Source organism: Homo sapiens, chromosome 19, assembly GCF_000001405.40.
Source record: "Homo sapiens chromosome 19, GRCh38.p14 Primary Assembly".
Taxonomy (NCBI): Eukaryota; Metazoa; Chordata; class Mammalia; order Primates; family Hominidae; genus Homo; species Homo sapiens.
The window spans coordinates 40,311,268-40,328,585 of NC_000019.10; the positions used below are offsets into that span (position 1 = coordinate 40,311,268).

The window sequence follows — 17,318 nt, forward strand, 5'->3', positions numbered from 1 at the left end:
ACTTGGGAGGCTGAGGCAGGAGAATCGCTTGAACCCGGGAGGCACAGGTTGCGGTGAGCCAAAATCACGCCATTGCACTCCAGCCTGGGCAACAAGAGCAAAACTCGGTCTCAAAAAAAAAAAAATTAGCCAAACGTGGTGGCACGCACCTGTAGTCCCAGATACTCAGGAGGCTGAGGTGGGAGGATCACTTGACCCTGAGAGGCGGAGAGTGCAGTGAGTTGAGATCGCACCACTGCAGTCTAGCCTGGGCGACAGAGCAAGACCCTGTCTCAAAAAATAATAATAATAAATAAAAATAAAAAATAAACACAAGGAGCCCCACTGTCTTACCCCACACCTTGCGCTTTCACAGGCTCACACTTCCTTCAGGTGGCGGAGTCCCTCACATGATGCAGTGAAGGGAGATGTGGAGTCTTGCTGGGTCGCCCAGGCTAGAATGCAGTGGCACAATCTCGGCTCACTGCAATGTCTGCCTCCTGGGTTCAAGCGACTCTCCTGCCTCAGCCTCCTGAGCAGCTGGGACTACAGGCCTATACCATCACGCCTGGCTACATTTTTGTATTTTTAGTAGAGACAGGGTTTCACCATGTTGGCCAGGCTGGTCTGGAACTCCTGACCTCAAGTGATCCACCTGCTTTGGCCTCCCAAAGTGCAGGGATTACAGGTGTGAGCCACCATGCCCGGCCCAATTTGCTTTTTTCACTCAGTGTTTTAGTTTATTCATATTGATATGTGCAACATTAGTTCATTTTCATTGATGTACACTATCCCACATCCAATATGTAAAACATAATGCATCCAACACTGGTGTCTTATTTTCCAACATGACCACAATGCGAGTTCTCATCCCACATGCTCTTCTTACAAGGAGATGTTGACTTCCTCTTACTGAGAAGTGGGATCTATCATGCCTCCTCCTGAATCTGATGGGCCAGTGACTGTGGCAGAAGTGAAGCCCTGTGGCTTCCAATGCTAGGTTAGAAAAGGCCATACAGGGCTGGGCATGGTGGCTCACGCCTGTAATCCCAGCACTTTGGGAGGCCGAGGCGGTCGGATCACGAGGTCGAGATCGAGACTATCCTGGCCAATATGGTGAAACCCCATCTCTACTAAAAATACAAAAAATTAGCCAGGCATGGTGGCGGGCGCCTGTAGTCCCAGCTACTTGGGAGGCTGAGGCAGGAGAATGGCGTGAACCCAGGAGGCGGAGCTTGCAGTGAGCTGAGATCGCACCACTGCACTCCAGCCTGGGCGACAGAGCGAGACTCCATCTCAAAAAAAAAAAAGAAAAGGCCATACAGTTTCCTCTGGCTCTCAAGAAGCTCCTTCTTGAAACCCAGCTGCCATGCTGTAAGGAAGCACAGGCCACAGGAAGAAGTCATGTGTAGGCATTCTGGCTGGCAGCCCAAGCTGGGCCCCAGATAAGTGCCAGTACTGGTTAACCACCAGGTATCTGAGGAAGTTTTAAGACGACACCAACCTCAGCCAACATCTTACTAAAATCACATGAGCGCCCCCAAGTGATAACAGCCTAATTAAGTCCAGTCAACCCCTGGGACTATAAGAGATAATAAAATGATTGTTAATTTAAGCCACTAAGTTTTGGGGTGATTAGTGATGCATTAGGTAACTGGAACAACTATGCCACAATCTGTCCATTCTCCAGTTGCTGGATATTTGTTTCCACATTTATGCTATTACAAACAGCACTGCTGTGAACATTCTCATACATGTCTTTTGCATGTACGTGGAAGTTTCTCCAGGGTATATATTTGCTAGGAGAGTAACTGCTGGGTTGGAAAGTGTGTCACCTTCAACTTTACCACAACCTACCAAACTATTTTCCAAGATGGTTGGTACCAGCTTACATTCCATCAGCAAAGTATATCCTCCCATTACTCCAAATCTTCCCTAACACTTGAGACTTAAGGTTTTTGCCAGTCTACTGGGTGCACAATGGTCTTATTTCATATCCTTTTAAGGACTGGAATTTTGTACTGTTCCCATGAATTAATCCAAAATAAGTGCTTAAACCTATAGTAATGTTGCTTTTTTAAATTTTTTATTTTTTCGAGACAGGGGCTCACTCTGTTGCCCAGGCTAGAGTGCAGTGTCGTGATCACAGCTCACTGCAGCTTCTACCTGTTGCGCTCAAGTGATCCTCCTGCCTCAGCCACCCAAGCAGCTGGGACTACAGCCATGCGCCACCACGCCGAGCTAATTTTTAAATTTTTTGTAGAGATGGAGTTTCACCATGTTGCCCAGTCTGGTCTGGAACTCCTGGGCTGAAGAGATCTGCCTGCCTTGGCCTCCCCAAGTGTTGGGATTACAGGCATGAGCCACCATGCCCAGCCCGCTTTTCCTTTTTAAGAATGATTTACACATTGGGGTTCCATATTAAGGCTTCATTTTCTAAAAGGGAGTTGTCACTGGGTATGATGGCTCATGCCTGTAATTCCTACAATTACAGGCAAGAGGCAGGAGGATCATCTGAGTCCAGGAGTTCAAGGCTGCAGTAAGCTACGATTGTGCCTCTGCAATCTGGCCTGGGTGACAGAGCAAGATCCTGTCTCCATAATCCCAGCTACTCGGGAGGCAGAGGCTGCAGTGAGATTACACCACTGCACTCTGGCCTGGGCAACAGAGGGAGACTCTGTCTCAAAAAAAAAAAAGGTATAGAAAAAAAGAAGGGAGGCTCCAGTAGCAGCCAAGCACATCTCATGCCTAGATCTTGGTTTCCACCACTGTTCTGCAATTAAAAGGACCAGGCTCCTTGGAAAAATGGTTGGCTCCAGGACTGGGGCAGGAAATATTCAAGATGAGCCTGCAGCATCTCTAGAGCCTGAAAGTAAGGACACAGTAAAAACAAAAACAAGGCTGGGTGCGGTGGTTCACGCCTATAATCCCAGCACTTTGGGAGGCTGAGGCGGGCAGATCAACTGAGGTCAGAAGTTCAAGACCAGCCTGAACAATATGATGAAACCCCATCTCTATTAAAAATACAAAAATTAGCCAGGCATCGTGGCATGTGCCTGTAATCCCAGCTACTCAGGAGGCTAAGGCAGGAGATCACTTGAACTCAGGAGGCGGAGGTTGTGGTGAGCTGAGATTGCACCATTGCACTCCAGCCTGGGCAACAAGAACGAAACTCCGTCTCAAAAACAAAAACAATGGGAGTATAACAAGTCAAAGGGACTCTGGAACCAACTGAAAGAGCTCCCCATGGCCAAAGTCAGACTAATGTGAGTGACAAAATAAAGAAAGTAACGTTGGATGATAACCTCAAATACAAAGTAAATATCCCTGAGTCCAAACTCATAAAAATAAATGACTAAGTTACTAAATGAGGAGAAGAGACACATTTCCTTTGCAGAAGAATTCCAAATAATTTATGTAAATCCCTTGCCCCCAAGGAGATGGAGCATAAACCCCCCAACTCCTTACATGCAGGCTGTGCAGTGAATTCCTTCCAAAGAGGACAAGGTGTAAAGGGAGAAAGAAGAGTAGCTTTACAAAGTGGAGAAACTTGACAAACAGGTGATCAGGATGAACAAAAACAGTGGTGAATCATGTGGTCAGTGTGTCCCCTTGATATGTGATGAAATGACACTTCCCCTTTGAGGTCTTCCTCCAAAAAACACGTAACTCCAGTGTAATCATGAGAAAAATATCAGACAAATCCCAGCTGAGGGGCATCCCATAATATGTCTGACCAGAACTCTTCGAAACTATCAAAGTAGGCATCAAAACCAAAGAAAGTCTGAGCAACTGCCCTAGCCAAGAGGAACCTAAGGAGACACGACAACTCCTTACTTGTCAATATAAATGTCTGGAGCCAGAATGTTATCAAATTTGATAACATAATGTCATATGAGATCCTGGAACAGTAAAATACATTAGGCAAAACTAAGGCAATCTGAATAAACTATAGACTTTAGTTAATACTAATGGATCGATATTATTTCATTAATTGTGACAAACGTACCACCCCAATGTCAGATGTCATTAATATTAGGAGTAACTGAGCGTGGGGTATACAGCAGCTCTCTGCACTATCTTCTCAATTTTTTCTGCAACTCTAAAACTATTCTAAGGCCAGGTGTGGTGGCTCATGCCTGTAATCCCAACATTTTGGGAGGCTGAGGTGAGTACATCGCTTGAGCTCAGGAATCTGAGACCAGCTAGGGCAATATAGTGAGACCTCGTCTCTACAAGAAAAAAAACAACTGGCCGGGCATGGTGGCTCACGCCTGTAATCCCAGCACTTTGGGAGGCCGAAGTGAGCAAATCGCCTGAGGTCAGGAATTCGAGACCAGCCTGGTTAACACGGTGAAACCCCATATCTACTAAAAATAAAAAATTAGCCAGGCATGGTGGCGCATGCCTGTAATCCCAGCCACTCAGGAGGCTGAGGCAGGAGAATTGCTTGAACCCGGCAGACGCAGGCTACAGTGAGCCGAGATCACCCCACTGCACTCCAGCCTGGGCGAGAGAGTGACACTCCATCTCAAAAAAAAAAAAAAATTTAAATTAAAAAATTAGCTGAGCATGGTGGCAGGTGCCCGTAGCCCCAGGTACTCAGGAGGCTGAGGCAATAGGATCACTTGAGCCTGGTAGGTGGAGGCTACAGTGAGCTGGGATCATACCACTGCACTCCAGTCTGGGTGACAGAGCAAGCCCCTATCTATAAATGAATAAATAAAGCTGTTCTAAAAATAAAGTCTATTACAAAAAAAAAAAGAGAGAGAGAGAGAGAGATTTAGCCCTGATTTTGCAAAGGGAAATGTCTCCTCTGCTGCAGGACCCCGACAGGCCTTCAAAGTTGGGTCTATAGTTGCAGCACTTGCCAAACTAACTCAGGTCAGATGCCCAAAGGAGGGGTGGAGGTGGCTGCAGCTCAACTCTTGGCTCATCTCAGCAGCAGGGGGCTTGGGCACTGGAGAAAGGGGGGCTGAGGCTGGCCCAGGCCTTGGCCACTTGCCACAGATACTGCTAGTTTGCATCTGGCTTTAGTATCCACTGATGTGGGCTACCAGAGGAAGGGATGTGTCCAGAGGTGGCCTTGTCTCAGGGCGACCATCCACACAGAATCACTCTGCTGGGCTGCTGCAGGTCTGGTTCTGCCATTCAGCATGAGCCCTGGGCTCGCTGCACCACCATCTCCTCATCCGTTTATGGGATGAGAATAGGAAGACCCTGCCTTTTATGATGTTGCCCTCAGGATTCGACAAGTCCAACAACTTAGCCAAGCGTTGATTTAGTACTTCCTGGCACACAGGTGGTAGTCAACGTTAGCTCTCAGCATCCCCTGACCCAACTCCTCCAGCGGTCTCCAGCTGGAAGAGTCCAACTGCTCTTCATTCCTTTATGAAATGGGGTGGTCACTGTGTAAATAAATCACCTGAAGGATGCCAATCATCTTGGAGGAGAGGCTAGTTCAGATCTGCAACGGACTCATCACCAGTATTTGCACTTAAATAATGTAATGTAATAATGTGTTCTTCGAAGTCACCCCTGAATTGATCCCATGTGTAAGGAAAATTGTTCATTCTAGGACTACTTGTAATAGCACGAGGTAGGAAACAACCTGAATTTCCTTCAAAAAGGAACTGGTTAAATAAATTAGACTACTAAGACACGTGTATGCTTGTACATGGATCCTATATGCTCCTCTGCTGTGTGTGTGTGTGTGTGTGTACATCTCACTGGAAAGATTACACAAGAAATTGGTTAACATTTGTAGTCTCTGAGGAAGGGACTAGGGGGCTAGGAGACATGGGAAGATACTTTTCACTGTAGAGACTTTTGTATCTTTTGCATTTTGAACCATGTGAATGTATTCTTAATTTTTTTTTTTCGAGACAAGAGTCTTGCTCTGTTGCCCAAGTGGAGTTGCAGTGGTGCGATCACAGCTCACTGCAGCTTCAACCTCCTGGGCTCAAGGGATCCTCCCACCTCAGCCTTACAAGTAGCTGGGAATACAGGCATGATCCACCAAACGTGGCTGTGAATGTATTATTTATGCTCAAAAATGCCTAACAGACAGGGCATGGTGGCTCATGCCTGTAATCCCAACACTTTGGAAAGCTGAGATGGGAGGATTGCTTGAGACTAGTAGTTTGAGACCAGCCTGGGCAACATAGAAAGACCCTGTCTCTAAAAAACTAAAAGTAAAAAGTGCTTAATAGAATCAGTGAAAAAAAAAAATCTACCCCTGTGGGTCATGGCTGTTGGGGCGGGCTCGGGAGAACTGCCAAGTCAAATGTATAACGGGTGGGCCACTGTGACTCTGGAGCAGCTGGGAGGTGGAGGCGGCATCGGCTCAGGTCACAAGGATGTGGCTCTCAAGGCGAGCAGCATCCTAGCTGCAAATGCTTCCTAGGACAAGCCAATAAGGTTGGTGCGGACATCTACACATGGACAACTCTAGAGAGTCCAAATCCACTGTTTTTTTTTTGTTTTTTTTTTTGAGACAGTCTCACTCTGTCGCCCAGGCTGGAGTGTAGTGGTATGATCTCTGCTCACGGCAACCTCCGCCTCCTGGGTTCAAGTGATTCTCGTGTCTCAGCCTCCCAAGTAGCTGTGATTACAGGCGTGCACCAACACACCGGCCAATTTTTGTATTTTTAGTAGAGATGGGGTTTTGCCATGTTGGCCAGGCTGGTCCTGAACTCCTGACTTCCAAGTGATCCACCTGCCTCAGCCTCCCAAAGTGCTGGGATTACAGGCGTAAGCCACCATGCCAGGTCCAAAATCACTGTCTTAAGACCTCCGCCTTGACCCTTCTCCAAAAGGGCTATGTTTCAAATCTGCTATCAAGGCAGCCCAGGTGGCTGGGTGCAGTGGCTCATGTCTGTAATCCCAGCACTTTGGGAGGCCGGTGAGAGAGGATCACTTGATCCCAAGAGTTCGAGCCCAGCATAGGGTACATAGTGAGACCTCGTCTCCATAAAATATAAAATAAAATAAAAATTTTTAAAAGGCACCACAGGGTAGGGATTAACGGGCAAGGATTCTGAAGTCTGCTCCCTGGGGTCAAACTCAGTCCTGCCACCCGCCAGCTGGGTGAGGCCTTCAGCAGTTAACTCCCCTCTCTGTGCCTCTGTAAAGCGCAACAATAAGAGAATCTCCCTGGCACAGCTAAACCCTGTGTGGTAAATTACCTATATATGTTTTTATATCATTGCAGTTCCTATTACACATTGAGAAATTACCATGGCTCTTAAATTTAGCAACTGGAACTCTTCCAGTTCACCCCAGCAGTTGTTAAAATTACCTATGAAGTAGAATCAGAGGAAATTATTAGGAAACAAAGAAGGCTGAAGCTCAGCAGGGAAAGTGCGCATGTGTGAGCTCTTCCTGGTGGCAATGACCTGAAGGGGCGGCCCCTGGAATCTGAGGGCCAGCATTTGCTGTCCTTTGAGGTCAGGCCTCAGCCAGTCTCAGGAGGGTCTAGCCTGGGCCCCCACAGAGAAAGGCATCTATTACTGCTCTCTACAGTTGTCCCTCATCCTGAAGTCCGGCCCTTCACACCCCATCCCCAGTGCCTGGGACACTGCATGACACACAGTCAGCCCCCAATATGACGTAACTGAAAAACTGAAAATAATGGATTTAGGAAGATGAAAGAAGTTCTGGAGATGGATGATGGCGAAGGGTACACAACAGTGTGAAAGTACTTAATGCCACTGAATGGTACAGTTTAAAATAGTTAAAATGGTCCAGGCGCAGTGGCTCACACCTGTAATCCCAGCACTTTGGGAGGCTGAGGCGGGCGGATCACCTAAGGTCAGGAGTTCGAGACCAGCCTGGCCAACGTGGTGAAACCCCATCTACTAAAAATATGAAAATTAGCTGGGAGTGGTGGCAGGTGCCTGTAATCCCAGCTACCAGGGAGGCTGAGGCAGGAGAATAGCTGGAACCCTGGAGGTGGAGGTTTCAGTGAGCCAAGATCATGACATTGTCCTCCAGCCTGGGCAACAAGAGCAAAACTCTAACTCAAAAAAAAAATAAACAATAAAAATAAAATAAAATGGTTAAAATTGTAAATTTCACGAGGTATATTTTCACACAATGAAAATAAATAAATAAACGGATGAGATCTAGTCTCATCTTTACCTGCTCTCTCATTAATTCTCCTCCAACCCCCTGACCTCTCCTAGGCTGTCTCTTTTTGTCAGTTCCTGTTCTCTAAACAGGGAAAGGGCCCCAGATTCCCTCCAATCTCTATGATCCCTTTCCAGCTGGTATTACCAGGCCCTTGGCTTTTTTTTTTTTTTTTTTTGAGATGGAGTCTCGCTCTTGTTGCCTAGGCTGGAGTGCAGTGGCACGATCTCAGCTCACTGCAACCTCCACCTCCCGGGTTCAAGCGATCCTCCTGCCTCAGCCTCCTAAGTAGCCGGGATTACAGGCACCTGTCACCACACCCGGCTAATTTTTGTATTTTTAGTAGAGACGGGGTTTCACCATCTTGGCCAGGCTGGTCTCGAACTCCTGACCTTGTGATCCACCCGCCTTGGCCTCCCAAACTGCTGGGATTACAAGCGTAAGCCACCACGCCCAGCCAAGGCCCTTGGCTTTGATTCCAGCTGTACCCTGCGCACTGTCAGCAGCCATGAACCCCCAGCCCAGGTGTCCGCCTGAGCCCCAGCGGGGACCCTAACAGGCGCAATGCAGTCAGAACACAGCTCCCTCTTCCTTGACCTTCCTCCCGTCTCCCCTTCTCTGTTAACAGCCGTTCCCCCAGATGCTCCGGTCTAACATCTAGGCGGGCCCTATGATTCTCATCTTCTCTAGCCCCAACTTCCAACCCATCAGCACATCCCACAGCTCTTCCTCCAAAGCACACCCTAAGCAGCCCAAGCGGCCCTCTTCCCTGCTCCCCACTGCCATGCCCTCGCAGCCATCCTGGCTTCCTGCCTGGACTGCTGCAGTGGCATCCACCCCAGCCCTCCCAGCCATTCCTTCTCCTCACAGAAGCCAGAGCGATGATCCTAAATGAAACTCAGCTCAGCACATCCCAGCTCCAAATCCTCCCGATCCAGCACTCCCGGGTCACTGTGCACATTCCTCCTCCTTGATCACAACACCCCCAGCCACCTAGCCCCTGCCCACCCACCTCTGCCTCATGCTGGAGGCAGGGCCCACCCTCACCCACAGCCACCAGCCTTCTTCCTGTTCCTTGTCCCACCTCAGCACCTCTGCCCCTGGCTGTCCCTCTGTCTGAAAGCTCTCCTCCTGAACTTCATGAAGCCACATTCCCAACTTGGCCTCCATGTCACCCCTTCTGCAAGGCCTTCCTATCCACAACCACTGAAGCGGCCCTGGCCACTTTCTCCCACTCCTCAGATTCCTTGGCCAGCACCACCGCTTTACCTACACCCCATCCCTGGAGAGGCCCTGCTCACTACCTGCTACCAGCTCCTAGGACAGGCCTGGCTCAGGGGCGCTGTGCAGCAGGGAGGGGTGGGCGACCAAACCAGTGGAAACTCATGGTCTCACAAACGGAGCCCATCATTTGGAAAGGTGCCAGCAGGCAGGTGAAATCCATGGGGGGAGGGGATAGAGTGACAAAACCACTACGGCTTATTGGGGGCAGGGGGCGGCCTAACTGAATGGTGACTGTGGCCATTACTCCCCCTGACTCAGGGCTTGCAGCAGGGACATGGACCATGTGTGTGCAGGAAGCCTGACCTTTAGAGACACAGCCCAATCCTCTGCCACCATCCCCAGCCCAGCTGCGCATAGTGTGAAACAGTCCTGCAACTCACCCTGAAGGAGTGGGGGAAATGATTTGAAAGTCACAAAAATATATTAAAACAGCAGCTGTCTTCACTCTAGGCACTGGCCTCCCTTCCCAGTGCCCCTTGCCCACCACCCGCCATACACTTTCAGAGACAGATGCCCAGGGCAGGAAAACGGATGCGCCTCAGCCGCAGCCCAGGGTCTGGAGAGGTCCCTCCAGCCTGGGAGTAGAGGGCGGCTAACAGTCTCAACAGGCTCGACGCCACCGCCGACGAGGGGGCCGCTGGGAGGCCGGAGGTACAGGAGGGTCGGGCAGGACGCAGCGGACAGTCGGGCCTTGCCACGGGGACAGAAAACAGAAGAGAAATGAACAAAGTGAAGACAGGGAGAGAGAGAAGTCACAGCAGTGGGGGGAGGCGCAGAGGAGTGAGGGAGGTCAGTGGGGAGTGGGGGAAGGGAGGCCCACCAGGTGACACCCACTTAGTTGAGGGGGACAGGGAGGCTGATGAGCTGGGGTCTGAGGCAGCAGACCCTGCTCAGGGGAAGAAGGGGAATGTAGGAGAGGAAGAAGCCCCCTGGCACTTGGGAGAGGTAGAAAAGTGGGTTCTGCCAAGGCCACAGCCAGAGAAGAAAGCACAGAGGACATGAGAGAAGGGGAGTCCTGGAGCAGGCCAGGCCAGCTGCGACGACCATCCCAGGCTAGGAGAAATGGGGTGATCCCCCGAATGCTCGGGCCTAGCTCTAGAGCCCGAGGGAGACAAGCTGTGTCATCCAGGAGCTGGTGGGAGGCGTGATGAAGCCAGGAGCCTGGGGCGGCCAGGGCAGATGCCCGCAGGCTCTGCTGCCTGCACCCCGCCCACAGGTGGGCTAGAAGGTCCTGCGGCCCAGTCTTTTGAACACGCTCACAGTGCCCGCGTGGTCCATCTGGGCACCAAGGCCCTCGCTGGAGCTGCTCCCCCGGGGCCCCACCAGAGTCCTCTTAATGGTGACCTTGACCTCGGCTGAGGACTTACTCTTGGTGCTGGTGACCTGGCTGTCCTGGGCCTCGGGCACAAGGGCAGCTGCGCCCAGTCTCTTGATGATGCTGACTTTAGACAAGGACTCCGGCTTCCTCTCAAGCCCAGACCGTGAGGAAAGCGCCAGGCGCCGCAGTGTCGGGGCAGCAGCCGTTGTCGCTGAGCTTGTGGCCTTGGCTTTGACAGTCAGTGCTGGCTGGGGACTGGCCTTGGCTGGGCCCCGTCCTAGCTTCTTCAGGACCCCGGCATACTGCAAGACAGAGCTGCTGCTGTCATTGTCGCTGTCCCAAGCCAGATCCTCGTCCGTTTCTGGGGTGGCCCCCAGGCGGCTGAAGACTCCTGTGGGCTGTGGAGGTCAGAGACAGGATGAATGAGTCACTGAGTCACTCAACACACATTCATGGAGAGCTGCTTCCTCTGTGCCTGGCCTCCTGGGACTCACAGTTGGGAGAAACACCCATCACTGACACCCCAGATAGTGGCGAGAGCCATGATGGGGGAGTCCAGGGGACTGGAGGAGCCCAGAGGAAGTACCTGACCTTCCTAGAAGTTCAGGGAGGGCGCCCTGAGAGGGGGGACATCTGAGCTGGAAGTAGGTCTAAGAAAGAGGGAAGAGGACGGGAGTGCCGCACAAAGGGAATGTCATTTGCAAGGTCAATAGGTGGGCATGAGTGGAGTGGAGAGATTAATCTGGTCATTCACTCCACGAATATTTTGAGTCCCAATTCTATATTGTACCTGGTCCTAGGCCGGCAGTGCTAGGGACACAGTGATGACCAAGACAGCCTCAGCGCTGCCCGCATGGGGCTCACAGTCCAGTGGGGAAGACAGGCTTGGCATCAGAAATGACACAAATAATTCTGCAAGAATGACAGTAACGCATTCTAGACGGAGAAGGACAGCTGGAGGGCAGAAGACAGGGGTGGCTCCTCATCAGTCCAGAGGAACTTTCCCTGAGGCACCAACTTTGAAGCCAGGCCCTCCAAGATGAATTAGCAAAGAAAAGAGTATGTGCTATGCCCTGAAGGCAGGAAGTATAATCCTATGTATTGAGCACTCGCTATGCGCCCAGCTCTTCATAGGGCTGGAACTTCCAGCCACATGATCCCGAGTGTTCCCATCCTCCTCATGGTAAGATTCTTGGAAGTGAGCAAGCCCGAGTTGCTGCACCCTGCAGAGCAGGACACTGGCAGGCAGGAAACGCAGCTGGGAGGCTCTGCAATAGTTCACCAACAGGCGCCGCACACCCCAGCACCATGCGGGGATGATCTTAACTCTACAGCCATCCTTGGAGGTGGGTCTATACAGATGAGGAGGCTGAAGTACAAAGGACTTAAGTGACATGGCCAAAGCCACGCAGTCAGGCCCCTGTGGGCTTCAGGGTGTACTCTGAGCTACACACCAGGCCTGGGGCCTGTGGGACTGCGGGCCGCGGCAGGAAGTACAGGCTGCATCATGGGCACAGTGAAGAGCCTCTGCAGGGCTTCCAGTGAGGGGACGGGCCCTGTCCTGTGGGCCGCACACACTGCTGCTGTGGGGATAGGGGCTGGGGTCCATGGTAACTGTGCGAGACCATTCAGGAGGCTATCATCCTATCCTGACAGGGAGAGGTGGCAGAGGAGGGAGAGACAGTAGAGTCATCAGACCCACTGACAGACTGCAATGGGGAGGGCAGGCAGCCCTCAGATGGGGGCCCAGGAGAGGGCTGACTTGGGGAAAGACACTAAGACCAGTTGGGGACATGGTGGGTGGGAGGCATCCAGGAGTACTGGACCCCCAGGGCTGGAAACTGGGAGAGAAGCCAGGGCAGAAGACAGATGGGAAAGCCGCCAGTGCAAAGCCAGGAACTGAGGCTGGAAAGGCAGGTTAGACGGCCCTGGGCCGAGTGAGGTTGAGATGTGTTAAAGAGTCAGGAGCACCGCTCAGGGAAGACAACAGCTCGCACGCCCAGAATCGCTCCCCCATCCCCACTCACTTTACTCCCTGTCGTGGTGTCTGCCTTGGTCTCGGCGCCGAGGCGGTCAAACACAGACGTCCTATGGAGACCTGGGAGGGAAGTGAAGCCATCAGGGAGAGGCCCCGGTGGGCCAGGCCTAGGCTGAGCTCTGTACAGACACCAAGGCAGCCCAGACACCAGTAGCTCTGGGACAGGCAGGGCCAGACTGTGCTGAGTTGGGTGTTATGTCTACACTGTTGGCTCACACTGACCCTAACCCACCCCTATCTGGCTAGAGCCAAATGTGGGAAAGACCAGCTACAAGTGGCAGATTCCCTACACCTCAGCACTAGCTCATGAACTGTGTGCACGGGAAGAGTTCTTAGTGCCTGCATGTTCCTTTCACTTCTTGGGGTCAGGGACCTCTGAGAGAATCTGATGAGTGGTAGTGCATCCTCCCCTAAATTATAACCTAATAGCCATCAATAGAATGGTTACTAAATTATGGTATATGAATACTCTGGAAATAATAAACAACCATTGAAAAAAGAATGAAGAAGATCTACCTGCATTAATATGAGAAGATCTCAACAAAAAATTTATGGAACATGGGCCAGGCATGGCAGGGTGTACCTGTAATCCCTTTGGGAGGCTGAGGCAGGTGGATCACCTGAGCCCAGGAGTTTGGGAACAACCTGGGTAATATAGTGAGACCCCATGTCTAAATATATATATATGAACAAAAAAGTTATAGAACATGCCAAGAGTGGTGACTCATGTCTGTAATCCCAACATGGTGGGAGGTGGTGGTGGGCAGATCGCATGAGCCTAAGAGTTAGAAACCAGAATTTAAAAATTAGCTGGGCGTGGTGGCCCACATCTATAGTCCCTGCTACTGGGGAGGTAAGGTAGGAACCCAGGAGGTCGAGGCTGCAGTGAGCCGTGTTCGTACCACAGCACTCCAGCCCAGGCAACAGAGCAAGACTCTGTCTCAAAAAAAAAAAAAGAAAAGAAAAGTTAGGTCCAGGCATGGTGGCTCACGCCTGTAATCCCAGCACTTTGAGAGGCCAAGGCAGGTGGATCACCCGAGGTCAGGAGTTTGAGACCAGCCTGGCCAACATGATGAAACCCCGTCTCTACTAAAAATATAAAAATTAGCTGGGCACGGTGGCGTGCACCTGTAATCCCAGATGCTTGGGAGACTGAGGCAGGAGAATCACTTGAACTCAGGAAGCGGAAGTTGCAGTGAGCCAAGATTGTGCCACTGCACTCCAGCCTGCGTAACAGAGCAAGACTCCGTTTCAAAAAAAAAAAAAAGTTATAGAACAATACTTACATTTTAAACACAAATACTATTTGTGTTTAAAAAAGAAAAACTAGGCTGAGTGTGGTGGCTCATACCTGTAATCCTAGCAATTTGGAAAGGTGAAGCAGGCAGATCACTTGAGCTCAGGAGTTTGAGACCAGCCTGGGCAACATGGCAAAACCCCCTCTCTACAAAAAATACAAAAATTAGGTGGGCATGGTGGCATGAGCCTGTAGTCCCAGCTACTCGGGAGGCTGAGGCAGGACTGCTTGAACCTGGGAGGTCGAGGAGACTGCAGTGAGTTGACAAGGTGCCACTGAACCCCAGCCTGGGTGATGAAGTGAGACCCTATCACAAAAAAATAAAAATTAAAACTAAAAAACAAAAAACTGCCTATATATGTGTTATGTATGTACCTAGATGCTGGTCTGGAAAGGTTAACAAGAGACGGGGATATGGGAGTGAGGGAAAAGAGTTTGTTTTTACTGAATATGTTTCTGTATCATCTGAAAGTGCTGGAGTTACAGGCATGGGCCACCGCGCCCAGCCTTTTTAATAGAGATAGGGGCTCACTATGTTGCACGCTTGAACTCCTAGGCTCAAGCAATCTTCCCACCTCAGACTCCCAAAGTGCTGGAATTACAGGTGTGCGTCACCACACCCGACCAAGAGATCATCTCTGTACTCCAAGTCAGAAGGCCTAGCTTTGGACTATATCTCCACTCGTCTCCTCTGGTTCATATTAACGGTGCCACTTTGGGGTATTTGCCCTTGGCCAAGCACAGCCACTCATTTTACAGCAGGCCATCACTCTATCGTTGCTCCTGCCCCTTGGGGAAGAGGTGCCAAGGGGCCCAGCTACACTAACTGCAGGATCAGAGGGCAGAGGTGATGTATTTCCCTCCTCTGCAGCCACCATCACTGTCCCCTTGGCCTACGGCTCCTGCATCCCCGTTAGAACCTGCTTCTCAGCCACCGTCTGTAGGATATGACGGGCCCTGTGTGATGCAGAGGGAGGGACATGGACCCCGCAGGGAAGCATGCCCCTGATGGGCCAGTACCTTTTGCAGCCTGCTGCTGCTCCAGGATCTTGCGGGTGCGGGGTGTGGTGCCTTTGGGCATGTTGATGACGTACTTCCCCTCCATCTCAGCAGTGACCCGGCGCCGCTTGGCAGGAACAGCCAGGCTCTCCTCCTCCCGGCGGGCCAGGGCTGCTGGGGGAAGAAAGCAGGGGTATCAGCACTCTCTGAGACAGAACGTTCTCCCAGGATGGAAGCTGGACACTAGGTGTCCTTTATCTCCACACATTCATGACTGGAATCCCTTACCTTCCCAACCACCCACATCACCACTGACCGAACCACAGAGAAACTCAGGTCTCTGTTACACGAGGTCACAGAAGGTGCTCAGAATCCCCAGGCTGTGGCAGGCCTCCCAGGCTTTCTGTGGCTCTGTCCCTATTCCAAGCAGGCTTCTGGCCCAGCCCAGCCCACATCCCCTCGGATGGGGAACCTGCTGGGTGGTGGAAAGGTTCTAGAGCTCCAAGCAGGCAGTGCTTTATGGCTGCACTCACTTGTCAACAAGCACTTGAGCTGTGTACACTTATGAGTGGTGGATTGTGCATAAGTTACACCTCAATTTAAAAAATGAATCCCCTCAAACGTGTTAAGGGTTAAAAGAGCCAGTTGCTCCCAGGCTCGCCATCTTCGCAATACTTTGTTACACTGATTTTAACTTTTTTTTTTTTTTTTTTTTTTGAGACTGAGTTTTTGTTCTTGTTGCCCAGTCTGGAGTGCAATGGCACGATCTCAGCTCACTACAACCTCTGCCTCCTAGGTTCAATCGATTCTCCTGCCTCAGCCTCCCAAGTAGCTGGGATTACAGGCATGCGCCACCACGCCCAGCTAATTTTTGTATTTTTGGTAGACATGGGGTTTCACCATGTTGGTCAGGCTGCTCTTGAACTCCTGACCTCAGGTGATCCGCCCACCTCGGCCTCCCAAAGTTCTGGGATTACAGGTGTGAGCCACCCCGCCCAGCCTTTTTTTTTTTTTTTTTAAATGTAGAGACAGGGTTTCATCATCTTGTGCAGGTTGGTCTTGAGCTCCTGGGCTCAAGTGATCCTCCTGCCTCAGCCTCCCAAAGTGCTGGGATTATAGGCGTGAGCCACCATGCCCAGCCTGATTTTAACTTTTTTGCTTGTGGCACACAAATCAAAGGCCAGAAGAGGGTGAGGCACTTCCAAACCTGCAGGACAAAGGGGAGACTTTGTGATGGAGGTGGACGGGGCGTGATAGGAGTGGGTGTCAGAAACATGAAGCGCCCTGGGCCTCAGTTTCCACATTTGCCTTATGACACCATGAGGTCATTGCTGTGGGGATGGGTCCAGCAAAGGCTTAAGAGCATGGTGGACGGGAAGGCCTGGGAGCCCAGTGACTGCAGGCCCATTCCCAGCTCTCAAGCTGAGACCTGGAGGAGGACAGAGGCCAACATGGAGCAGTCTGGGAAGGAAGAGTGCTCAGGCCAAGGGGTCACCAGGAGCAAAGGCCCCATGATGGGAAGGAGGCTGGAGGGGAGCAAGCGAGCATGCAAAGTGGGGCGATGCAAGAGATGAATCTACATGATGCAGGGCCCTACAGACCATGTGGGGAAGATGGCCTTTATTACTGGAATAATGGGGAGCCCCGGAGAGTTACAGCCCAGGGGGTTACAGGATCAGACTGAAGGTTTTCAAGGATGGATCCCTTGGCTGCTAAGAGGAGGCAAGAGGTTCTTAACCTATGACCCCAGGCATCAAGCACAGAGCTGTGCACAAGTAGGGGGCTCGGTGAAGACCTGTTCACAAAGCGTGAACCCCTGAGTGAGAAGGCAATGCACACATGCCTCAACACACCAACTCAGGTGCTTCTGTCCATCCTCCTGGGTGGGGTATCGCCACCCCCCATGCTACAGATGAAGAAAGTGAGGCCCACAGACGTATGGCACCTTGACCAAGTTTACAGAGGTGATTCAGGTTCAAATGTTTTGTATACCTTGTGGCCTTCAAAGCACCTTACAATATTGGAAGCATGACCCCCAACACCTCCTACCAACCCACGTTCCCCTCCAGCTCCTCCTACCACCTGCCCATGTTCCCTCACCAGTGGCCTTGGCACTCTTTGCTGCCATCTTGTTGGACACAGTGACCGAGATCTTGGAGGTGCTGGTGTCCGGGCGCCTGGGGGGTGTGCTGGGTGGAGAGTCATGGTTCAGGCTGTTGGTGATCATTCGGGAGGCAGCTGTGGGGAGAAAAGGAGAGTCCGGTCGGGTGGGG

General features: G+C 51.2%; 1 protein-coding gene across 16 annotated transcripts in view, besides 1 other annotated feature; it reads right to left on the reverse strand.

Annotated features, from left to right (window-relative positions):
* C19orf47 (chromosome 19 open reading frame 47) overlaps nucleotides 1-17,318 on the reverse strand; it is a 55,574-nt gene that overhangs the window by 18,314 nt on the left and 19,942 nt on the right. For 7 of the 16 annotated variants that reach the window (NR_156465.2, NR_046202.2, NM_001256441.2 and 4 more), the window contains 4 exons: nucleotides 17,146-17,283; nucleotides 15,067-15,219; nucleotides 12,739-12,809; nucleotides 8,269-11,109 (listed from right to left, as the gene is read on the reverse strand). Coding sequence is in view for 14 of the 16 variants with exons in the window: in NM_001256441.2 (NP_001243370.1) it covers nucleotides 10,615-11,109; nucleotides 12,739-12,809; nucleotides 15,067-15,219; nucleotides 17,146-17,283 (857 nt within the window). In the remaining 2 variants the exon portion in view is untranslated. Of the gene's footprint in view, nucleotides 1-8,268; nucleotides 11,110-12,738; nucleotides 12,810-15,066; nucleotides 15,220-17,145; nucleotides 17,284-17,318 lie in introns of those variants that run through there. The other 9 variants (XM_047438175.1, XM_017026293.3, XM_011526460.3 and 6 more) reach the window with 6 other exon arrangements.
* Nucleotides 11,842-12,342: an enhancer, noted in NCBI's record as "H3K4me1 hESC enhancer chr19:40829016-40829516 (GRCh37/hg19 assembly coordinates)". NCBI's record gives its function as "activates a minimal SCP1, AML or CMV promoter by ChIP-STARR-seq in naive H9 embryonic stem cells {active_cell/tissue: H9 hESC(naive)}" and the evidence as "EXISTENCE:reporter gene assay evidence [ECO:0000049][PMID:30033119]".